Below are 25,979 nucleotides of genomic sequence, written 5' to 3' on the forward strand. Positions count from 1 at the left end.
AGTATCTTATTGTGGTTTTGATTTGCATTTCTCTAATGATTAGTGATACTGAGTATGTTTTCACATATTTGTTGGCCACATGTATGTCTTTTTGAGAAGTGTCTCCACATGTATTTTCCCTATGTTTTAATGAGGTTATTTGCTTTTTGGTTATGTATTTAAGTTCCTTATGGATATTAGATCTTTATCAGATACATAGACAGTGAATATTTTCTCCCACTCTGTAGGTTGTCTGTTTACTCTGTTGATAGCTCTTTTGCCATGCAGAAACTGTTTAATTTAATTAAGCCCCACTTGTCAATTTTTGTTTCTGTTCCAATTGCTTTTGGGTAGTCATAAATTATTTGCCAAATGCCAAAATGGTATTTGCTAGTTTTCCTTCTAGAGTTTTTATTGTTTTAGATCTTACATTTAAACCTTTAATCTAATATTGAGTTAATTTTTGTATATGGTGAAAGAAATGGCCTCGGATTCAATTTTTTTACATGTGGCTAGCCAGTTTTCCCAGAACCATTTATTGAAAATGGAGTCCGTTTCCTATTGTTTGTAATTGTTAACTTTATTGAAGATCAGGTGGTTTCAGATTTGTAGCTTTATTTCTGGGTTCTCTATCATGTTCCATTGGTCCACATGTTTATTTCTATACCAGCGCCATGCTGTTTTGGTTACTACAGCTTTGTAATATAGATTGAAGTTGGATAGTGTGATGCCTCTGGTTTCATTCTTATTGCTTAGTATTGCTTTGGCAATTTGGGCTCTTTATTGGTTTCATATGACTTTCAGTATAGTTTTTTTTTTAATTCTGTGAAAAATGACATCAGTAGTTTGATAGATATAGCATTGAATCTGTAAATTGCTTTGGGCAGTACAGTCATTTTCTCAATATTGATTCTTCCAATCCATGAGCATGGAATGTTTTTCTATTTCTTTGTGTCATCTCTGATTTCTTTCATTAGTGGTTTGTAATTCTTGTCAGAAATCTTTCACTTCCTTGGTAAGCTGTATTCCTAGCTATTTTATTCTTTTTGTGGCAATTGTAAACGGGATTGCTTTCTTGATTTGGCTCTCAGCTTGCATTTTATTGGTGAATAGAAATACAGCCAATTTCTGTACATTGACTTTTTATTCTGAAACTTTACTGAACTTGTTTATCAGATCTAAGAGCGTTCTGGCAGAGTCTATTAGGTTTTCTAGGTATAGAACCATCATCCATGAAGAGAGATAATTTGACTTCCTCCCTTCCTTTTTAAATGCCTTCCCTTTGTTTCTCTTGCCTGATTGCTCTGGCTAGGAATTCCAGTACTATGTTGAATAGAAGTGGTGAAAGTGGGCATCCTTGTCTTGTTCCAGTTCTCAATGGAAATGGTTCCAGCTTTTGCTTATCCACTATGATGGTGGCTGTGTGTTTGTTATAGATGGTACTTATTATTTTGAGATATGTTTATTTGATACCTATTTTGTTTAGTGTTTTTAACATGAACGGATCTTGAATTTTATCAAAAGCCTTTTCTGCCTCTATGAAGATGATCATATGTTTTTTTTAATTTTATGTATCCAATTTATTGATTTGCATATGCACAACCACCATTGCATCCCAGGAAGAAAGCCCACTTGATTGTGATTAATTGACTTTTTGATGTGTTGCTGGATTTGGTTTGCTAGAATTGTGTTCAGGAATTTTACATTTATGTTTATCAGACACACTGGCCTGAAGTTTTCTCTTTTCGTTGTGTCTCTGCCAGGTTTTGGTATTAGAATAATGCTGGCTTTGTAGAATGAATTAGCAAGGAGTCTCTCTTCTTCATTTTTTTGGAATAATTTTGGTAGTATTGGTACTAGCTCTTCTTTGTATGTTTGCTGTAATTTGGTTATGAATCCATCTGGCCCAGGGCTTTTTATGCTTAGCGGGCTTTTTATAATTATTACATTTCAGAACTTACTATTTATCTATTCAAAATTTTAATTTCTTCCTGGTTCAATCTTGGAAGGATGTGTGTTTCCAAAAGTTTATATATATCTTCTAGGTTCTCTAGTTACTGTGCATAGAGGTGTTAGTAATAGTCACTCTGGAGCTTTGGTATTTCTGTGGGGTTGATTGTAACATCACTTTTGTTGTTTCTGATTGTATTAATTTGGTTATTCTCTCTTTTTCTCTTTATTACCCTAGATAGCAATTCATCAATCTTCTTTAATATTTCAAAAAACTAACTTTTGCTTTTGTTGATCTTTTATATTGATTTTTGGATCTCAATTTCATTCAGCTTAGTTTTGATTTTCATTATTTCTTTTCTTCTGCTGGTGTTAGGCTTGGTTTGCTCTTGTTTTTCTAGTTACTGTAGATGTGATGTTTGATTTTTAATTTGTGATCTTTCCAGTTTCTTGATGTAGGTGTTTAGCACTATAAACTTTCTTCTTAACACTGTTTTAGCTGTGTCCCAAAGATTGTGGTATATTGTGTGGCTGTTTGCATTAGCTTCATTGTTTTTATGTATGCCTTAATTTCATTCTTTACCCAAAAGTCATTCAGGAAAAGTTGTCTGGTTTCCATGCAATTGTATGGTTTTGATAGATATTCTTGGCATTGATTTCTATTTTTATTGCACTGTGGACTGAGAATATAGTTTATATGATTTCAATTTCTCTGAATTTGTTGAAACTTGCTTTATGGTGGAGCATTTGGTCAATCTTATAGTATATGCTGTGTGCATATATGAAGAATGTATATTCTATTGTGTGGAGTGTTCTGTAGACGTCTATTAGGTCCAATTGGTCAAGTGTCAAATTTAAGTCCTGAATATCATGGTTAGTTTTCTGCTTCAATGATCTTCCTAATACCATCAGTGGGGTTTTCAAGTCCCCCAATGTTATTGTGTGGTTTTCTAAATCTCTTAATAGATGTTGAAAAACCAGTTTTATGTATACGTGTACTTGGATGATGGGTGCATATATATTTAGAATAGTTAAGTCTTTCTGTTGGATTGAATATTTTATAATTGTGTAATGCCCTCATTTGTTCTTTTTGATCATTATTGGTTTACAGTCTGTTTTATCTGACATGAAAATAGCAACCCCTAATTTTTTTGTTTTTCATTTGCCTAATAGATCTTTCTCTGTCCCTTTATTTTAAGTTGATAAAATAAACTCACAAGTTTATTTTATTTGTGAGTTGAGTCTCTTGAAGATAGCAGACAGCTGAGTCTTACTTCTTTATCCAACTTGCCACTCTGTGCCTTTTAAGTGGGGCCTTTATCCTGTTTACATTTAAGGTCAATAGTGATGTATGAAGATTTGATCCTGTCATCATGCTGTTAGCTGATTGTTATACAGACTTGATTGTATAGTTGGTTTGTAGTGTCAATGGGCTATGTACTTAAGTGTGTTTTTGTGGTGGCAGCTATTGTTCTTTTATTTCCATGTTTAGTACTCCTTTTAGCATCTCTTTTAAGGCAGGTAAAATGGTAATGAATTCACTTAGCATTTGCTTGTTTGAAAAGGATTTCATTTCTCCTTTGTTTACGAAGCTTAGTTTGGCTGAATATGAAGTCACTGGCTACAATTTCTTTTCTCTAGGGCTGTTGAAAATAGGCCCTCAATCTCTTCTGGCCTGTAAGGTTTCTGCTGAAATATCCATTGATAGCCTGATGGGCTTCCATTTTTATGTGACCTTCCCTTTCTCTGCAGCTATCTTTAACAACTTTTTCTTTAACATTGACCTTGGAAAATCTGACGACTATGTGTGTTGGGAATGGTTGTCTTATATAGTATCTCTCGGAATTTCTTGAATTTGCATGTCAACCTCTCTAGTGAGACTGGGAAATTTTTCATGGAATTTATCCTCAAACATTTTTGCCAGGTTGCTGTGTCTCTATCCTTCTCTTTCAGAAATGCCACTGGCCATAAGTTTGGTCTCTTTACATAATCCTATACTTCTTGGAAATTTTGTTTATTTATTTAAATTCTTTTTTCTTTATTTCTATCTGCCTCCGTTGCTTCAAAGAAGTAGTTTGCAAGCTCTGAGATTCTTTCCTCAGCATGGTCTATTCTGTAGTTAATGCTTCCAATTGTCTTTTGAAATTCCTGTAATGAATGTTCATTTCCAGAAGTTCATTTTGGTGCTTTCTTAAAATGGTTATGTCATCTTTCAACTCCTGCATAGTTTTATTAGTTTCTTTGGATTTCATTTCAACCTTCACTTATATCTCAATGAGCTTCCTTGCCATCCATATTCTGCATTCCACTTCTGACATTTCAGCCATTTTTATCTGGTTAAGAACCATTGCTTGGGGGCTAGTGTGATAGTTTGGAAGTAAGAAGACACTGGCTTTTAGAGTTGCCAGAGTTCCTTATAGGTTCTTTCTCATCTGTGAGGGCAGATGTTCCTTTATCCTTTGGAGTTGTTATCCTTTGGATTGGGCTTTTGTGTTTTTATTATGTTCTTGATTGCCCTTGAGGGTTTGACACACATTGGGTACAGTTAAATGAATCAGTGTCTAGATGCTTTTAGAGTGCCAAGGCTCAACTCCACGCTCAAGCTTTGTGCTTTAACTCTGAGTGGCAGGGACTGGGCCTATATCTTTGTTCTCTGGTCCCTTGAGGTTAAGCACTAGCTGGGATAGAGGGGCTATGGTACTCTCAGACTGTTGGTAACAGTGCTCTGTTGTGAGCAGCAGAGGCCATGGGAGGAAGGCATTCCAGCAGCAGCACTGTGGGCAAGAAGTGCTCCAGTGGGGATGGTGATGGCTCTATAGGCAAATGTGCTCCACAGGGGCAATGGTGACATGCAGCGGCAAGAAACTCTCATCAAAAGTCTCTGGCAGGGATGGCATGGGTACTGCATGTGGAAAGCCTACTGTAGTGTGATGGCAGAGTCCCTGGTGAATTCACCAGCTTTGGCAGCTGGCTATCACCAAAAGCGCTTCAGTGAGGGCAATAGAGGCTTTCAGAGAAAGTACTATGGCATTGGGCACTGGCAAAAGTGCTCTGGTTGGGTAGATGAGCTCTGGCATGCAGCACAGACAGGCAGGAACTCTGGGAGGGGCTGGTCAACAGAAAGGTGAGCAGCTTGGACACACCCTTGTCCTGTGGGCAAGACAGACCTGCTTTTCCAGGTGTGGTGGATTACACAGGTCAGAACCACCTAGAGGAGCAAGAAGAACCTTAGGGGATGAACACCAATGGTCATGTTCCACTGAAACCATCCCAGCACCTCACCACCTGGGCTCCATGCACATTCAAGTTCTGCCTACTCTCTGGGCAGTTCCCCTGCCACTCAAATGTCTATGGAATTTGTGGAGTTTCCTGTAGCTATGATCCTTGAGGTCCATGGTGAAAGTAGGCTGCTTGGCATTTATTTCACTCACCTCTTCTTTAGGAGCTATTCAGGGCCAGGAATGATTTCTGGTTCTTGGCAACCTGATGTGTGGTTCCCAGCTTCCTCCCGCTTCAGCACCAGCATTTAGGGTGTCTGTCTATCAACTCCCAGTACATTCTCTCAGATGATGTTTGGATTCTGCCAATCTATTCAATGTTCTGGTCTGTCTCAATGGGAGAAATTCTTCCTGACTTCATGTAGTTGGCCATTTTTTCACCCTCTCTATTTTTAAATTTTTCACACAAAAAAATTTTGTGTAAATTTTGTCAAATTTCTTTAAAACCATTCTTTTGTTATATCATCTCATTTCTGAATTTTTCCTAATTGTTTTTTATGCTTTTTTTACAGCTTTTTTCTTAATTTCTTTTTGCTTCTTTTGTGTATATATTTTGTCATGTGCCTTCATTGTGGATTAGGCATCATTGATTGTTATCTCTTACTGTCTTTCTCTCTTTGTTTTGGCAATGACTTGTATACAATTCAACCACAATTCTTTTCTATTGTCATAGTTAAGTAAGATGGGCTTTCAAATAAGAATGATTTTGTTACCCAAGAATATCTGGAAATGTCTGGGGACATTTTTGGGTATTGTTAATGGTTGAGTTGCTATTGGCATCTAGTGTGAAAGACAATGGATACTGCAAAAAAACCCTGCCTTGCCTAGGACATCTTCCCTCTAAGAATTATCTGCTCCAAAATGTCAATTTTGTCTAGGTTGAGAAACCCTGGCCCCATTAACATAGATGACTATAATGGGGTCTAAAAGTCAGATTTCTTTAGCTTCATGTCTCCCATGTGTCTTTTTATGTTGTCAAAAGTGAGCCTTTATAATTCCTAAAATCTGTCTTGTCTCCCTTCAGTGTTTTTATCTGCACTTTATTTTTTCCATTTTACTTACAGCTTCTATACTTTTCTATTTGATTTTTATTCCCAGGAGTTTTTTCTCAGAATAAGTGATCGTCTTGGGAATTATAGTTTACAAATCCCCTCATAACTTGGGCTGCTTTTATTCAATTGAATTGCAGAGACTTCCATAAGCATTTGTGATCCTTTATTCTGAAGTACACTACTTACTAAAAATCTGTCAGTTCTTCAGTTGTCAAGACCCTCAGAAGTTGCTGCCTTCCTACTACTTCATCTACTTAGTTGCTGATACATCATGGGTCACCTCACTGTTGAATGTTTCAAGTGTATACATTGTCATTTATTTTGTTTACATGTTATATATGACATTTTAAACTAGTGGTTCAATTTCTATACTGAGCATCAGTTTTTCCATTTTCTAAAATTCTAAATTTTACAAATATTTAATTTTTCAATTTATTATTGAGCATTGTTGAATTTTGTTTGATCATGTATGTATTAAAATAAGTTGTCAGTTTAAGTTTTTAAACTTACAGACATAACTGTGTTTCTGTTTTTCTTTGAAGATCTTTTTATCTATCCCTCATTTTTAGATATACCTCTCTATTACTTTTTAATAACTGTTTTGTTTTCTATAAATTAAATTCATCAAAATATAATCCTCAAAGAAACAACATTTGATTATATAATTCTGGTCTTATTTTTATCTTTTTCTTACTTCTATTTTCTTTCATTTGCTCTTATGGTCTTCTAAATTATTTGGTTAAATATTTTGTTTACCAACTTGTAGCTCTTTGATTCTCATATATAAGAATTAGCTTAAATTGTTTGTTTTACATAATGCTTTAGGTGAATCCCATTAGTTTGGACAGTTTTATTAACTTTTAAATTAACTCTCAACTAATTGTATTTTAGTTATGTAATTTTTGTTTTGTACCCTTTCAATTTTCTATCAACTTTTGTTTCATTTGAACTTGAAAATTATTTTTTAAATTTATTGTGTAAATGTTTGTGTATATGTGTGTGTGTATATCAAGCTTATTTATATCTTTAAAATTTTTTTTATTTTTATCAAACTATCAGTTTCATCAATCAGTTGTTCCGAGATATTTTTAAATTTTCACAAATGCACATGGATTTATCAATTTCTCCAATTTCCTGCAGTTTTATCTTATGTAATTTGGGGTTATTTTTATAAGCATATTAAGTTGTTATACCTTCTCACTACATTAAACTCTTTATCAATGGGTAGGTACTCTCCATATCCCTCAAAAGGAGATGTGAAGATGGAGGTAGAAATTGGGGTGATGTGGTCACAAAACAAGAATTACTGGCAGCCACCAGAAGATGTCAAAGACAAGGAACAGGTTCTCTCCTAGAACCTCCAGAGGGAGTGTGGCCCTGACAGCACCTTAGCTTCAACTTTCAGGCCTCCAGATCTGTGAGGCAAACATTTTGGCTGTTTTATGCCACCAAGTTTGTAGCAATTTATTGTAGCAGTCTTAGGAAAGAAATACACCTGCACTCCCACAAAAAATTTGCATTATGTTTGAGAGTGTGCATCATATTCTATTCAATTCTTAATCTCAACATTATGGCTTATAACAGAGCCCACATCTTGTTCATAATACATAAATTTTAAATAAGATAATTAAAGCATGTGAAAACATAGGCTTTTCAAATTAGCGCCATCTGGTTCAAATAGAATTTGGAAATAATTCTCTCTGACTCTGAATCAGTTTTTTAAAATTTCTATATTTTGCAAATCCTTATTAAGTAAACTACTGTGTGCTGGCTGTATATCCCAAAGTGGATTATGATAAAAACTAGAGTATCTATTTATTGTTTCCAAGATACTTTTAGTTAGTACTCCAGAAAGACGCAGTTTGGTTGTTTTTTATATAAAACTTCTCTAAATTTTTTTCCTTTGACAATTTATTATCTAAAATGGTATTATGTTAAGATACGTACTATTCCTATAATAATTCAACAACCACACTAATATAATTTTAAATATAACCTTAGGTATAACTTCATGTAATTCTTTCATGATTTTTATCAAATTACCCTTAAAATAGTATAAAACTTCTACAAATTCAGGTATATATTATGCACCCACTGTGTAATTTTTAACATTAAGCCTTTTTACACTATTAGAGTGTGATATTGGAATCTTATTTTTTTTTTTTTTTTTTTTTTTTTTTTTTTTTTTTTTTTTTTTTTTTTTTTTTTTGAGACGGAGTCTCGCTCTGTCGCCCAGGCCGGACTGCGGACTGCAGTGGCGCAATCTCGGCTCACTGCAAGCTCCGCTTCCCGGGTTCACGCCATTCTCCTGCCTCAGCCTCCCGAGTAGCTGGGACTACAGGCGCCCGCCACCGCGCCCGGCTAATTTTTTGTATTTTTAGTAGAGACGGGGTTTCACCTTGTTAGCCAGGATGGTCTCGATCTCCTGACCTCATGATCCACCCGCCTCGGCCTCCCAAAGCGCTGGGATTACAGGCGTGAGCCACCGCGCCCGGCCGGAATCTTATTTTATAAAAACTCTTATTGTTTTCTAAATTTTATTAAAAGTCTTATTGTTTTATTTTTTAAACTCATGTTTACTTAGATAAGTTTATTTATTAAACTCTTATTGTTTTATTAAAACTCTTATTATTTTCTAAATTTACTATATATTTGCATCAAATTATTGCAAGAATATATTATTTCATCCTAATGTGCTCTTCTTAGTGCTATCATACTTTCTGAACTATAAGAAGAGAAATATCTGTTTAATTATGATCATTGCAACTAAGAAATACTCCTGAAAAGATGTTCTAGCATGTAGTGTTAAATCTTCATAGCAATCATGATGATTTGTTGCATTTGTTACTTATTACACTTCTGCCACCTTCAATCCCTCAATATTATAGGCAATGTAGACTAAGAAAGATATTAATTTTAAAATCTTCAGCCATTTGTTCATTTTATGAAGGAACATTACATTCACTATAAAAGGAAGACTGTAATAATTTATAAATAGAGTAATAAAGCAATAATATTTTTTTAAAAATGGGACAGAACACCTGGCCAGAGCAATCAGGCAAGAAAAAGTAAATGAGGGCATCCAAACAGGAAGACAGGTAAGTCTAACTGTCCTTGTTTGCAGATGACATGTTTCTATAGCTAGAAAACTCCATAGCCTTGGCTCAAATGCTTCTTCAGCTGATAACCAACTTTAGCAAAGTTTCAGGATACAAAATTAATGTACAAAAATCACCAGCATTCCTATACAACAACAACAGCCAAGCCAAGAGCTAAATCAGAAATGAAATCCCATTCACAATTGCCAGGAAAAGAATAAAATATCTAGGAAAACAACTTACCAGGGAGGTGAAAGATCTCTACAATGAGAATTACAAAACACTGCTCAAAGAAATCAGTTATGACAGATACAAATGGAAAAACATTTGAGGCTCATGGACAGGAAAAATCAGTATTATTAAAATGGCCATACTGTCCAAAGCAATTGATAGATTCAATGCTATTCCTACTAAACTACCAACAACATCCTTCACAGAACTAGAAGAACTATTTTAAAATTCATATAGAACCAAAAAAGAGCCTGAATAGTCACGGCAATCCGAAACAAAAAGAGCAAAGCTGGAGGCATCACGATACCTGACAACGCCATTCAAAAGTGGGCAAAGGAGATGAACAGACACTTTTCAAAAGAACATATACACACAGTCAACAATCATATAAAAACATGCTCAATATCACTGATCATTAGAGAAATGCAAATCAAAACCACAATGGTATCTCATTGAAAAAGCAACAGATGCTGGCAAGATTGCAGAGAAAAGGGAATACTTACATTTTATGGGTGGGAATACAGATTACTTCAGCCATTGTAGAAAGCAGTGCGGTGATTCCTTGACATAGCTACCCTTCAACCCAGCAATCCCATTACTGGTTTTAGTGGTTGTATACCCAAAGGAATATAAATCATTCTGCCACGAAGGTGCATGCATGTGAATGTTCATTGCAGCACTATTCATAACAGCAAAGATATGGAATCAACCTAAATGCCCATCAGCAGCAGACTGGATAAAGAAAATGTGTTACATATGTACCATGGTACACTATGCAGCCACAAGAAAGAAAAAAATCATGTCCTTTGCAGGAACATGGATGGAGCTGGAGGCCATTATCCTTAGCAAACTAACACAGGAACAGAAACCACATATTCTCACTTATAAGTGGGGAGCTAAATGATGAGAATTCATGGACACAAAGTGAGGATCAACAGACAGTGAGGCCTACTTGAGGTCAGAGGGTGAAAGGAGGGAGAGGAGCAGAAAAAATAACTATTGGGTACTAGGCTTAGTACCTAGACAACAAAATAATCTGTACAACAAACTCCAGTGACACAAATTTACCTACATATCAAAACTTCACATGTACCCCGAACCTAAAATAAAAGTTAAAATAAAAAGAAATGGGACAGAGCAAAGCATTTCTGGGGACTTTCACAGAAAATTCAGTAAGGCTAAATATATGTTTTTAGGTATAGTATTTGTTTTAGAAAGTTCTTTAATTTCTGACAGAGCCCTTTAAATGTGTATATTTCAATGAAATTAAGGAAATTTCATACAAAGGTGATCATTAATAGTCTTTCTTTTTATACCTTCCTTCAAAACTTTTAGTAGGCAAGTTTTCAAGATTACACAATGATTACTTCCAGGATTCTTGATCAGCTTGTGGTGCAAAGAGCAATCATGGTTGGCAATATAATCTGTTGGAAGTACACTAATTTGGGGAATCTTTTGAAATATTTAATGTGTGTCAAATAAATCTGAGTCAGCTATATAAATTGTCTATATTATACAGGACTTTTTGATGCCTAGCTGCCTCAGTATTACTTATTAGTTTTCTCAGAAGAGAAGTGCCATCAAAAAAAGAAGCAAAGAAGAAAGAAGTAGTAAATGAGAGAGGAGGCATGATTATAAATTGAATTGAATGTAAAATAAAATAATGTTATTTAATATTATGGTCCATGTACTGTTTTTTTGTGAATTGTATTCTCTTTGACTAGCTTTGTCACAGTATTTCATTAGATTATGTATTCATAAAGAATTGTATTTTAAAATTATACATTTAATTATCTAACATTGGTTTTAAAAATCACATAAAATTATGTCTTTAAATTCCAAAAGCCTGAAATAAGTCAGTTTTTTAAAAAAGTTCACAAACTAAAAAAAAAAGTTACTAAACACTTGTATAAGTGGAAACATGACAACTTTCTGGCTCAGTTTATTTGAAATAGTATGATGTTAACTCACTTTTTCCCAATGCTCTGTGTATATTTATGCTGTGTATAATTAAATATATATTTTATTTATTTAATTAAGCCAAAAAGACTTGCTGGATCAATGGGGTACACTTTTTGAAGTCTCAACTAAAACATTCTCAAGGTAATGCATGAGAGTGACTAATATATACGTGCATATATATTATGTATCATGTATCATGCATCAAAAATTGATCCACTGCTCTTTAAAGTTGTTCAATTTTTATTTTTCCTATTGCTTTCTTTAAATTGAGAACATAATAAATTGAGCTCCAAATTAGTTATAATCATTCTAAAGTCAGGCTGAATTTATTGACATGAGACCCTAAGCAGAGATTCTAGAATTCATCTTTTACCTTGAGGGGTTGAAAGAGCAAACATGTTCTAAACTAAGGGAAATTAAAATGCTAAAAGTAATTTGGTATAATGTACAAGAAGGAAGAGAGTAGAGATAGTGCAATTTATAATTGCAGCAATTAAAACTTTGCAAGATTAAATTTACTCGAGAATAACATTCAGCCTTGTCTTGTCGCTGATCTATTGTTTTACAAATCAATTCGACATACACATTAAAATATCTTACTGCTTTAGAAGACTATGAATAATATACGTGTATACAATTACACAAAATGGTTTTTAAAATGTGTTAATTTACTAGGCTTCAGCCCACACTTATTCAAAGACTAATACTGTTATTTTTTAGAAGTGATTGGAGTCCATGGCCAATTGACATTAAGGAAAGGGAATTGTCCTAGATAATCTTGGATGGCCTGGTTCAATCAGCCGAAAACCTTAGGAGCAGAACTGGGGCTTCCTGAAAAAGCTATTCATCTATGAACATCAGCTTTAGCTTGTGCCCAAGAGTCCTTAATGTCCTGCACTAGAGATTTAAGACTTGCCTGGCCAGATCCACAATGAAGAAAGCCAATCTACTGCAACAAACATCTTAGTGTACTTCTTACTCATTTCTGACTCTCTGGTTGAACTTTGACTGATATAAATTTTGGTACCTGAAATAGTTGTAGAGGAACAGAGGCCTAAGGCTCAATTTACTGAATTTGTTCTGGGATGTCTGGAATTAGTTATCCAATCTAATTAGATTTAAAGGCACTATTGACTCTGTCTCCAGACTCTATCACATGTGACATAATGTGACAATAATACATGAAATATTTGTATTGGATAGTCCTAATCAATTACCTCTAGAAGGCAAGTTTCTGCAATACCATGTATTTACTAGCTTAGAACATTTTGCTCAAATGAAGGAGTATGAGTTTGGCTGGCTGCCCCTAACTTTGCTCGAGAAAGCAGGTAATTAAAAGTATGTTCAGGGCTTCATATTTCCAAATTAAACTCTGTATTAATGACTTAGAATATTCTCTACTTGCCCAAACACAAAATAAAATGCAACAAGAACCTTTATCACATGTACCTGTATCATAGACATTTCCGAAAACAATAGTTTCATTTGGTGAATAGCTGAATTACAACATAAATTGAATTCCTACCCTAACCCCACAAGGTAGATTCTGTTAAAGTGGAAGCATTGATTGAGAAGGAATGGGATTATGGAAATTGAAATAGGAGATGTGGGAAGATCCTAATGAAGGTGGGAACACTGGACTCATGAACTCTGCTAAGTGTTTTTGCCAGTAAAAGCAGCCATTCTTTCCTTGCTTGAGTGGGTTAGCCCATCCCACAAGGTAGTTGCCTTATCAGCCACTGCTGATGTTTCTCAGTACCTGTTTCTAACACCTCTCTGTGATTTTAGATGTAAAGCTAACTCAAGTCTCAGCAGGCCCCAAAGAGTAAGGTACAAAGTGAGATCCATGAGGAAATACACTACCCACCCAAATAACTAAATATTTTAAAAAATGTACACAGAATAAGATCTGAGAAATATGTTTGGGAATGAATCTTAAGAATGTCGATTCAAGGAGGAAAGAATATAAAGTTAAGTCAGGCTGAATTTATTGACATGAGACCCTAAGCAGAAATTCTAGAATTCATCTTTTACCTTGAGGGGTTGAAAGAGCAAACATGTTCTAAACTAAGGGAAATTAAAATGCTAAAAGTAATTTGGTATAATGTACAAGAAGGAAGAGAGTAGAGATAGTGCAATTTTATAATGGATTTATCATACTGATTTGCTCAATTACCCTGGAACAAGCCTATGACACACCTTTCACCTTTTACCATGACTGTGAGAAATAAATTTGTAAGGGAAGTCTTGAATGTTCTTATTTGTAGGTCAGAAATTAGAGTAGATACTTCTGTTGCCAAACTGTGACCTCAAGACTCAATGGAAATAATGACAGCCCAGGGCAGCAGTGGCCTCATGACTGCAGTTAATTGCCAAAGACAAGGTGGACCTGGTTAACGGACCTCAGGTTAATGGAACCTGAGGAGTAATCAGAAAACTTTGACTTGCAGTGACTTATGCTATGGGCTAGTTAATCACGGTGTACTTAGAAAATGAATAGATGGGCAGTCTATTAAAGTCTTATTTGACCCGTGTAAGAGGGAAACTTCTAGGTTTAGTGAATAGAGGTCTAATTTGAAGTACCAAAAAAGATATTCATGACCTATCAATCAATTCTAAAATATGAACCAATTTTCAGGACACTTCTACACCACGAAAAATGTGTACTGCTTGTTTTTTTACCATCTTTTTCCAAATGGACCTATGGATGTTTACTAGGGTAATGATGCAATGGAAAAGGGGAAATAATCAAACATTTTGGAGATTACTGGAGACTGGATCTGAAATGACACACTCTTTCCTGAAGACCCAAATTGTTACTGTAGTCTACCAGAGTTGAGAAATTATGGCGATTGTGGAATTTTTGCTTAGATCTATCTCACAGTGGACCAATGTATCCACGAACCCATTTGATGTTATTTTTCCAGTTCTAGAATGTAAAATTGGAATAGACATACTCAGCAACTGGCACAGTCCACACATTGGTTCCCTGACCTGTATATTGAGAGCTATTATGGTAGAAAAGTTTAAGTATAAGCCAATATAATTGCCTCTACCCCAACATATAATAAACTGAAAGCAATAATGCATTTTTGGAGGTATTGCAAAGATTAGTGCCACCATCACAGACTTGAAAGATGCAGGCATGGTGATTTCCATAGAGCCTTATTCAAGTCATGTATTTGGCATACTCAGAAAACAAATGGATCTTGGAGAAGGGGACAGTGGATTATTGTAAATGTTCAAATTGCAGTTGCTTTTGCAGATGTGCTTTCATTACTTGAGCAAATTAACACATCTCCTGTTACCTTGTATGCTGCTATTGATGGAGCAAATGCTGTATGGAAATAAGTAATTCAAAATGTAAGCTGTTGAAACTTTAAAATATTTTCAGCCTTGGGGAAATGTGATTAGGGGAGACTCACATCAGGCAGCTGTAACATAGGCAGCTATCTATAACCTATGTTTCTCTTTATAGATTAGACTTCTTCCTTACCTACATGGTTTTATAAAATGTTGTAAATGACTAAAGATCACCAAGGAAGACTATGTCTCTCTTTACTGTTGATCTTCATTATAGATTAATTTCCCTCTTACCTTTCTCACAAAAAACAATTCATGACTATCACAATATATTAGATGGAATGTTAAATATACTCTTTTAAATTGAAATGGAAAAACAAGCTGTATGGAAAAGGAAGCAAACTATAACTAATTAAATCGTTGTAACTCATAAACCAGCCTTGAATAAAGAGTTATAATCCTACTAAACTTGATTTCCTGACTATATAAGCAAGACTATAACTTTTAATATCTGAGAACTGACTCCATTTCTTTGGAGTCTGTGATCTTTGGATGGCTATTCCTAGATTTTCATTTGAATAAACTATTCAAAACTGGATTCTGACCCTTTTGATTATTTCAGGTTGACAGCTATTTGTTCTGCACCTGTTAATGAAGACCACCAGAGGAGTTTACTTTCAGTTGGCAAGGAGAGCAAAATACCTTCACGGTCACATCAGAAGTATCTTAGCTTTCCAGATAAGCTATGTTATAATTTAGTCAGCAGGGACCTTGATCCCCTTTCCCTTCCATGAGACATCACACTGGTTCATTAAATTGATGATATTATGTTGATTGTTAGTGATCAGGAAGTAGAAAACTACACACTTGAATAGACATTTGTGTGTCACAAGGTGGGAAATAAATCCCACAAAGATTCAGTGGCCTTTCACCCCAGAGAAATTTCTAAGGTTACAGTGGCATGAGCATGTGACGTTATCCTGTCCAAGGCAAAGAACGAGTTTGTTGTATCTGGCCCCTGCTGCCACACACAAAATGAAGCTTAATTCTTATTGAGCCTCTTAGAATTTTGAAGGCAGTGTTAGCAGTGGTGAATTCCTACAGGTCGGCCCCAACTTGATTTTTGCCTCATCGAAAGAAAGACTTCAGCCAAGGAGCATAAGGCAGGGTAAGACACTGAGGCCAGTTGCAGAGCAGGAGTGAAATGTATGACAAGTTTTAGAGCAAGATGAAAAAACTGAAGTATACTTGGAAGAGGGCTAATAGGGTGACTTGAGAGATCCAGTGCTTGGTTTGACCTTCGACTGGGGGTCTTATACATTGACATGCTTCCAGGGTTGTGCTACTTCTCCCCTGATTCACCTCTTGGGATGGGCTGTTTACATGGGCAGTGGCCTGCCAGCACTTGGGAGGGGTCACATGCACAGTGTGTTTACCGAAGTTGTGCACATGTTCACTTGAGGTGTTTTTCCTTTACCAGGCGAGTGTTTCTAGAGGAAGTTCCCTTACCTGTTAAACTGCCATTTTGCCTCTTAGTGTGCATGCTTGAAGCTGCTCGCCCATCTCCTGAGATCGTATTGAGAAGCTGCTGGTCACCAGCTTCAAATATTTTCTATCTATTGAGAGATTGCCTTTCCTGGCACCGGATGCGACTGATTATCATTTTAGAGATACAATGTAACAACCACCTGATCATCACTTCATGTTTGCCTGACATTCCTTGGGGGCAGGTCTCTCCTGTCCCACTCATGTCTGCCTAGCTACCTACTCTAACAGAAACAAATTTCTCATTTGGGTCTACTACTATGGTCCATTTACTGATTTGCCGTAGAAATAGCTGGTTTTGAGTAGAGCCCAGAACAAAAGAAAGCTCTGCAGCACATACAGGTTGTCATGTTGACAGATTTTCTTAAATGTCTAAAGCAGAAAGAAAAAGAAAAACCAACTAAACAACCAAACAAAGACAGAAAAATTAAAAAAGAGAAAAATGAGAAAACACATACTCTTCTTGTCTTTGCAGATTGGCATGTGTTGGCAATCTGTGTTGGCACTCCTTTGGCACTTAGGTAGGCTGTTTACCGCACTGTATTAGCCTTCACTCTTTGCTTATTGAGCCTGAAGATCAGCCAGGGGCGAAAGCTTTAGGCCTTCTCCGGCCTTTCTGAACACATTTGAACATGTGTCCTACTCTAAGCAAGCATATGGCTTATTTTTTTTTTTTTTTTTTTTGGGACGCCGTCTCACTCTGTCACCCAGGCTGGAGTGCAGTGGCGCGATCTCGGCCCACTGCAACTGCTGCCCCCCGGGTTCAAGCTATTATCCCGCCTCAGCCTCCTGAGTAGCTGGAACTACAGGCGCCTGCCACCACGCCCGGGTAATTTTTGTATCTTTTTGTAGAGATGAGGTTTCACCATATTGGCCAGGCTGGTCTTGAACTCCTGACCTCATGATTTGCCCGCCTTGGCCTCCCAAAGTGCTGGATTACAGACATAAGCCACCGTGCCCAGCCAAGTACATGGCTTTTAAATTTCCCAGTATACATTCCCCAGAATACAGGAGCTTTTCCATGCCCTACTTGCTCAAAGAACCTCTCTTCTCAGAGCCTCCTTTCAGGCTTCCATATTTTGCTTGTTTGCTTCACTATAATTGTCTGTCCCAGATGGCAGAGAGGCTGTCCATTTACCTTTCATTGTTTTCAAGGCCTGGCCTCTGAATAACTTCTTTTCTTCCTGAGAGAGTTTCAGTTTAGTTGAAACAAAGCAAACACCTTGCCTCAGTTGCTCAGGATGTCTTCAGACAGGTTAAAAGAGACAAACACAATTCTTCGCATAGAAGGTCTGCTTTGTTCCCTCTGGAGCCAGGGACCAGGGTCTCACTGAGAACATGAGCTGCCACCTTCAAGACTGCTGGTGGTCAGGGAAGTGAGGTGGCACAAGAACAAGTAACAATGCTACCAAGTTCTCGACATTTTTAAGTTGTTTTTTCCGTGGTTAACATTCATTCGGTTCCTGTCAACCTCTGACTGTTTTCCAGAGTGCCAATGAGTTGATTCTGACACTTTCTGCTTGTTTTTTTTAGAGATGGGCCCTAGGAGCCACTTAACTCTGAGTTTTTGGCTAATACTATTCCTTTTTGTACTAACTGTTGAAATCAGGTAATGTAAGTTCTCTAACTTTTTAAAAAAGCCTTTGTACTTTTCTGTGTCTTGTTTTCTCATATATATTTTAGAATTGGCTTGTCATTTTGCGAAAAATTCTAGTCAGACTTCAATAGAGAATGCATTAGATCAATAGATCAAGAATTGTCATCTTAAAATTAGTTAGCTTTCAAATGCATGAACATAATGTTCTCCATTAATTAAGTCTGTTCAAATTTCTCCCAGGAAAGTTTTGTAGTTTTCTGTATATACCTTTTGCATTTTGCTGTTGTTGTTGTTAAACGTATTTCTAAGCAGGTTTTTTTTGGTGCTATACGTATATGCTTGGTTTGCTAATTTCATTTTTGGATTATTACTAGTATGTAGAAATACATTTGATGTTTATATGTTGATCTTTACTCAGAGTCATTGATGAGCTTATTAGTTTTCATAAATTGTTTCATGAAATCCTTAAAATTTTCTAGATACAGGTTCATATTACCTGTGAATAAAACATTTTTAACCCAGATGTCCTTTAATCTCTTTATCTTGCCGGTTTGCTCAACTGCACTGGCTAGAATTTAATGTACCACTTTGAGTAACAGAGGACATTCTTGCCATATTCCTGATCGTAAGGAAAAATCATGTAGTTTTTCACCATTGAATATGATACTAGTTGTAGATCTTTATAGATATTTTTCAGTTGAAGGAGTTCCCTTCTGTTCTTTGTTGAGAGTTTGTTGAGCTATTTGTCCTGCAAAATGGCATGTTTTTCTTGAGCCATTTTCTTATTCATACACTGCAGATGACATATTTTCATGTATCTGATCACTTGAAAAACAACAAATACATTTTTATTATAACACCAGACAAAAATAATTAATATAGTTGCACTTAGCAAACATCAATATTAGGAACCTACTTTAAATCAACAAAATGTACAATGCAAGTGCTATTTAATAGCATGAAATATCAGTGATTATCCATTAATTCTAAACCTGGTAATTAATCACCTGAATTACTGGATTTTATTCGATAAGTATGAATACTAATAAAACATCCATTGTGAGCAAACATCTTTCATCTTCCCTTTTATATTCTCTTGCATATAGATTCAATAAATACTATTAATCAATACTTTCTACATTGATATATAAATCTTGCCCTCAGTAGTGTCAAATCTGCACATGAAAATCACTACACAGACACATGGCATAATGTCTGATGAGATTACCTCTGGATGTATAGTCATACATTAAATGTCAAATGATTAAGAAGAAATACACTAAAAACAGTTGTTATGTATCAGTTGTTGGAGCATGGTAAATTTTTAGCATTTTTTTACATGTATGTTCTCAATTCAATTATATTCAACATTTTAACATGTTAAAAGAAGTAAAAGCAATTAATCTTTATTTCAACAAAGAATGACACCACAACTCTTTCCCCAGGGATGCCATCCCCCTGTGAGTAAGGGAGTTCACAGGCTTTTACCCATTTCTGAGGCTATCTCTCTACGTTTAATCTATCTAAATTGTTTAGAAATATCCAGTGTTGGGAGAAGATATAAGAAGGATAGATATGAAGTATATCATAATTGGTATAAAACATTATAGTGGAATATGGTAGAATTATTCAAGTTAGCTAAACAAAGGAAACTTTAAAAAGTCAAACATTTAGCTTTACCTTATCTGCCATTTGTATTGCAATGTTAGCAGTGTTTCCCATAAATCTTGAGCATCTTTTGCTATCTAAATACAACTATATTATTCAATTGGTTTATAAGGCACACCAAAGGGACATTTTTGTATTCCATATTTGAGTTAGTGTCAGGCAGGGAAACATGACATGGCTGCAGCGGCTAAAAGAGAACATTTAGTAGCAATAGGATTTGCAACCAGAAAGAAACATGAAATCATAAGCTATGGGTATTTGTCAGCATATTGGGAAATATACTGGCCTTCCATAAGACTAAGGAGTTATGTAAATCACTCCATAATTTTAATGATTCAGGGAGGTATCTGGGTTAAATTTGCTTTGTTAACTATAAAACTCTTTGAACTTTGCCGTACAAGTTCATGCCAGCCCCGCTTCCCACCATCAATCCACAATGTGTTGTGACTTATTCCTACTATTTTGGAATAGTAGGTTTGGAATATTTTAAGTCTCTCCTTAAATTATTCACAATCTGTTCATCTTCTTTGAGTGCAAAAGTTGCCATTTGCCTTTTAGTTGCTCAGAAGCCTATTTTCTGGTATGATATTCCAAGATTTACTATTAGCCTGCACTATTGCACATTAGAGTTCAGAAAAATATGTCTCTAAAGCTCAATTTATCTATTCAGTCAGATGTAGTTACTTGAAAAGTACAGAATGATTACTTTTCTAAAGTGTATCTGGCCTGATCTAAAGAGATTTCACTTATTCAGGGATCAACTCCATGCAAAGACTATAAATTTCTCTCAGTGAGAATAACACTAACAGATTGCAGGAATTCTAATGAGTGAGTTTCCATGTCTACTAGGACCCATAGAGATATGCAGCCATGGTAAAGGAGAAGAACTGAAAAGCATGCAAACTATTTACAAGATAATTAGCCAAGTGGAGATTACATTAAAATACATATTTTGCTCAATTTCTACAATTCACATACTTTTAGCTTAAAAATAGTAACATATATGGAACATTGCCTACATATAAAATTATTGTACAGGTATTTTCACCATAGAGGGGAGATGCTGAAGAGAGTATTTGACTCAATAATTCAGCAAGTTTCAAAAGATGTTACAATAAACTGAAGTTGGCAGTTATCATGCATAATTTTCATATGTGGTTGCATGAAATTTCTAATTCTGGGCATCAACTCAAATTCTGAGAACATGTAATATGCTTTCTATTGAAACCAGCAGTTGAGTAATAATACATAATATGACAATATTATGTGAGTAACATTTGTATGTGAGATATTATCATGGCTAAAAATGTATTAGCCATAATAATACCTTAGGAAAACTTGAACTTCTTTCTTGTAAGAGGCATAGAAAAGAAATAAGAGCTCTTTCAACAGTTGGTTTACTCTTTTTCAAAGCTTTCACAAAATAATGCAAATATAACTTTTCAAAGAGAAACAAAATAGTATTTAATATCAGTAAGAAAGATGGAGTAAGTGAACATTAAATTTTACTGCTAGATTTTTTTTCTAAACTAAACAGTTTACAAATTTATAACAACCTTAGTTACCATTTGTAATTATTTATAATTACATATTGCTCCATTTATACAACATTAAAAGTTTAGTAATATAGTCACGTGTTTCTTAACAATGGCGATACTCTCTGAGAAATGTGTCATTAGGTGATTTCATCATTGTACAAATATCAGAGTGTATTTACACACTCTACATCAGAGTGTACTTTCAAGCCTAGATGGAATAGCCTACCACACACCTAAGCTATATAGTATCACCTGTTGCTCTTAGGCTACAAGCCTGAACATCATGTTATTGTACTGAATATGGTAAACAGTTATAATACAATGTAATGCAAGTATTTTTATCTCTAAACATATCTAAACATAGAAAATAAAAAGATATCATAGTATAACCTTATGGTTGCACCATTATATATGTGGTCCATCATTGACTGAAACATTGTTAGGCAGCACATGACCATATACTGGACACATTCAGTGTCAAATGTGTGTGACTGTCAAGGTGAGGGTCAGGGTCTTAGGCTGCACGTAGAAAGATGTGGATTATTCTGAGACTCTACATCCTCCAAATGCCAGCACTGCAATTTTTATATCACTAGTAATAGTGAGTGATCTGGCTTCTTTTCCAGAGTTTGAGTTTCGTCTGTTCAAGTCAGTCTTATTCTGTCATTCATCCAGTCCATGCTCCTCTCCTAAATCAGAGATAAAATATATTACAAATTCTGCTACGAACTCCAGTGTTGTCTCAATCATAAAATGCCAATTTGGTGTTCCAACTAGATTAATAGAAGTGATATCCAGAAAGTGATAAACTTTGCAAACTGACAAAAAACATTCTAGTTTATACAGCATCTTGCTTCATCTCTAGTAGCCATTTCATTTTTGGGGAGCCAGAGAATGGGTAAACCTGCATGCTTTATTCCTTAAAATGGAAAGAAAAATAAGAAAAAGTTTACAAGCCTGGTTTTCAACAACTTAATTTAGTTTAAACGACAAAAGGATACATACATACATACACACAAACACACACACACACACGTTAGTTTCCAAAGATAGTGTGAAACCTATATACCACTCGTATGTGGCATGCACTACCTACAATCAAGAGTGGAGATGCTATTTGAATCTGAGCTGAGCCTGTCACTGCTTTGATCAGTGGAATGTGGACAAAGTGCCATCTTGGGCTACTGAGCACAGTTATTAAGATTTGACAGTCTACTCTCCCAGTCATGGAAAACTAAGCTTCCAAGTAAGAGTCCAAGTTATTCTACTAGAGAGAGAAACCACTTGTTAAGGTCTTGAAAGTGGAGATGCAACATAGAGAGAGGCCACATGGAGAAGTACACAGGCACCAGATATCCAGACCCAGCTGGCAGGCCCAACCGTCATCTAACTTGACTCACTTAAGAGACCTCAAGCTAAATCTATTAAGCAACCTACCGATTGTGCTCCTGCCAGCTTACAGAATAAAATGGCTATTGTGTAAACCACCAAATTTGGAAGTTATCTGTTATTCAAAACTATTGAAGTGAAATAGACTTTTTAATGTTAAGTGGAATGTTGCTTTTGAAAAAAGCTCCCCATATATATTACACACTTTAGGACATCATGGGGGATGGAAGCTGGAAATGCCTTGAGAAGATTATTAGGCTTGCAGAGAATATTATTTGAGCTGGAAAGAAAGAGACACAAGTTATATAAAAGCCATATAATTAATAAAATAATCAATAAAGGGATTATGAAAAATTGAAAGGTTACCCCAACTTGTTGATCTGTCTAAAGATATTACCAGAAAAAAATTTGAGAGTGTGAACTTTTTTAAATATAAATATTAAATTTGTATATCGGTTGATGATAAAGTACGAGAGTAGCCAGAAGGGCTAAAAAGTAAGTGCTCAATTTTTCAAGATAATTTAGAGAAAATACAAAAATGCAATACTTTTCTGTCTTCAAAAATAAAACTTTGTCTATTCTTAGTCTCTGTGGAAGACAAAAACAGCTTTCAAAGTAGGAAATAGCCTCAGAGCAAAGGACACGTCTTGGCCATCGCCAGTATAAACTGATCTCTGCGTAAATTTCAGATCAAGGATCAGCTGTACATGCCTTTGTTAAGGCTCAAAAAACTTTGTCACCTTTAGAAATTTTCAGCTAGAAAAAAGACCGCTAGGTCAACTAATAGAATTTCTGAAAGTTTTAAGAAAAATTTTACCTCAGTAGCCTTGGATGGGAGGTCTAAGGTACAGCAGCTCTTACTTCTGAAGGGAATGTGAGTGCTGTTTTTTGTTTGTATGTGTTTTCTCATCTAATGAGTTTTATTATAACATGATAAATTTAAAAACCTATAAAGCTTATTGAAGGAATTATAACATCTTGTACTAAAAAAAGGTGGCAGTTTATAATGAAAAGAGATCACTAGGAACCTCAAAATTTTATAAGCAGGATGCAGGCCAGAAGAGCTGCTGTGCTAAAAGCATGAGCCATTTCTTATAGAAAAGTGAGGTTAAGTCAGAGGGCAAATGAAAATTCCTGAGGATGGAGCCAACATCTATGGGGAGCCACTTCATTGAAACTTAATCAAGGAACCACATGCAGGTACCCAGTTGGATATTTTAAAAACTGTTGTTTTATCAGGTCATTTATGTTCTTCTCTAAACTGGAACGTATCTCAAAATAATAAGAGCTATTTACGACAAACCCACAGCCAATATCATACTGAATGGACAAAAACTGGAGGCATTCCCTTTGAAAACCAGCACAAGACAAGGATGCCCTCTTTCACCACTCTTATTCAACATAGTATTGGAAGTTCTGGCCAGGGCAATCAGGCAAGAGAAAGAAATAAAGCGTATTCAAATAGGAAGAGAGGAAGTCAAATTGTCTCTGTTTGCAGATGACATGATTGTATATTTAGAAAACCCCATCATCTCAGCCCAAAATCTCCTTAAGCTGATAAGCAACTTCAGCAAAGTCTCGAGATACAAAATCAATGTGCAAAAATCACAAGCATTCCTATACACCAATAACAGACAATCAGAGAGCGAAATCATGCGTGAACTCCCATTCACAATTGCTACAAAGAGAACAAAATACCTAGGAATACAACTTACAAGGCATGTGAAGGGTCTGTTCAAGGAGAACTCCAAACCTCTGCTCAAGGAGATAAGAGAGGACACAAACAAATGGAAAAATATTTCATGCTCACTGATAGGAAGAATCACTATTGTGAAAATGGCCATACTGCCCAAAGTAATTTATAGATTCAATGCTATTCCCATCAAGCCACCATTGACTTTCTTCACAGAATTAGAAAAAACTACTTTAAATTTAAATTTCATATGAAATCAAAAAAGAGCCCATATAGCCAAGATAATCCTAAGCCAAAAGAACAAAGCTGGAGGCATAACACTACCTGATGTGAAACTATACTGAAAGGCTACAGTAGCCAAAACAGCATGGTACTGGTACCAAAACAGATATATAGACCAATGGAATGGAACAGAGGCCTCAGAAATAATGCCACACATTTACAACCATTTAATCTTTGACGAACCTCACAAAAACAAGCATTTAATAAATGGTGTTGGGAAAACTGGCTAGCCACATGGAGAAAACTGAAACTGGACCCCTTCCTTACATCTTATTCAAAAATTAACTCAAGATGGGTTAAAGCCTTAAATGTGAAATCTAAAACCATAAAAATCCTAGAAGAAAATCTAGGCAATACCATTCAGGACATAGGCATGGGCAAAGACTTCATGACTAAAACACCAAAAGCAATGGCAACAAAAGCCAAAATTGACAGATGGGATCTAGTTAAACTAAAGAGCTTCTGCACAGCAAAAGAAACTATCATCAGAGTGAACAGGTAACCTACAGGATGGAAGAAAAATTTTGGACTCTATCCATCTGACAAAGGGCTAATATCCAGAAGCTACAAGGAACTTAAACAAATTTAAAAGAAAAAAACAAACCACCCCATCAAAAAGTGTGCAAAGGATAGGAACAGACACTTCTCAAAAGAGGACAGTTGTGCAGCCGACAAACATATGAAAAAAAGCATATCATCACTGGTCATTAGAGAAATGCAAATCAAAACTATAATGAGATACTATTTCACACCAGTTAGAATGGCAATCATTAAAAAGTCAGGAAACAACAGATGCTGGAGAGGATGTGGAGAAATAGGAACACTTTTACACTGTTGGTGGGAGTGTAAATTAGTTCAACCATTGTGGAAAACAGTGTGGCCTCCGTGATCTAGAAACAGAAATATCATTTGACCCAGCAATCCCATTACTGGGTATATACCCAAAGGATTATAAATTATTCTATTATAAAGACACATGCACACATATATTTATTGCAGCACAATTCACAACAGAAAAACTTGGAACCAACCCAAATGCCCATCAATGATAGACTGGATAAAGAAAATGTGGCACATATACACCATGGAATACTATGCAGCCATAAAAAAGGATGAGTTCATGTCCTTTGCAGGGACATGGATGAAGCTGGAAACCATCATTCTCAGCAAACTAAAACAGGAACAGAAAACCAAACACCACATGTTCTCACTCATAAGCGGGAGTTGAACAATGAGAACACATGGACACATGGAGGGGAACATCACACACAAACGGGGGCCTGTTGGGGGATGGGGGTCTAGGGGAGGGATAGCATTAGGAGAAATACCTAATGTAGATGATGTGTTGACGGGTGCAGCAAACCACCATGGCACGTGTATACCTACATAACAAACCTGCATGTTCTGTACATGT

At 35.7% G+C, this 25,979-nt stretch overlaps 1 long non-coding RNA gene across 1 annotated transcript in view, besides 2 other annotated features; it reads right to left on the minus strand.

Moving 5' to 3' along the window:
- The window catches only part of LINC01609 (long intergenic non-protein coding RNA 1609), a 137,243-nt gene that overhangs the window by 48,633 nt on the left and 62,631 nt on the right, over window positions 1–25,979 (minus strand). The gene's annotated exons all lie outside the window — the stretch shown is intronic.
- Window positions 2,891–3,442: an enhancer, noted in NCBI's record as "OCT4-NANOG hESC enhancer chr8:112162713-112163264 (GRCh37/hg19 assembly coordinates)". NCBI's record gives its function as "activates a minimal SCP1, AML or CMV promoter by ChIP-STARR-seq in naive and primed H9 embryonic stem cells {active_cell/tissue: H9 hESC(naive and primed)}" and the evidence as "EXISTENCE:reporter gene assay evidence [ECO:0000049][PMID:30033119]".
- Window positions 3,443–3,992: an enhancer, noted in NCBI's record as "OCT4-NANOG hESC enhancer chr8:112163265-112163814 (GRCh37/hg19 assembly coordinates)". NCBI's record gives its function as "activates a minimal SCP1, AML or CMV promoter by ChIP-STARR-seq in naive H9 embryonic stem cells {active_cell/tissue: H9 hESC(naive)}" and the evidence as "EXISTENCE:reporter gene assay evidence [ECO:0000049][PMID:30033119]".

Source organism: Homo sapiens, chromosome 8 (assembly GCF_000001405.40).
Source record: "Homo sapiens chromosome 8, GRCh38.p14 Primary Assembly".
Lineage (NCBI taxonomy): Eukaryota > Metazoa > Chordata > Mammalia > Primates > Hominidae > Homo > Homo sapiens.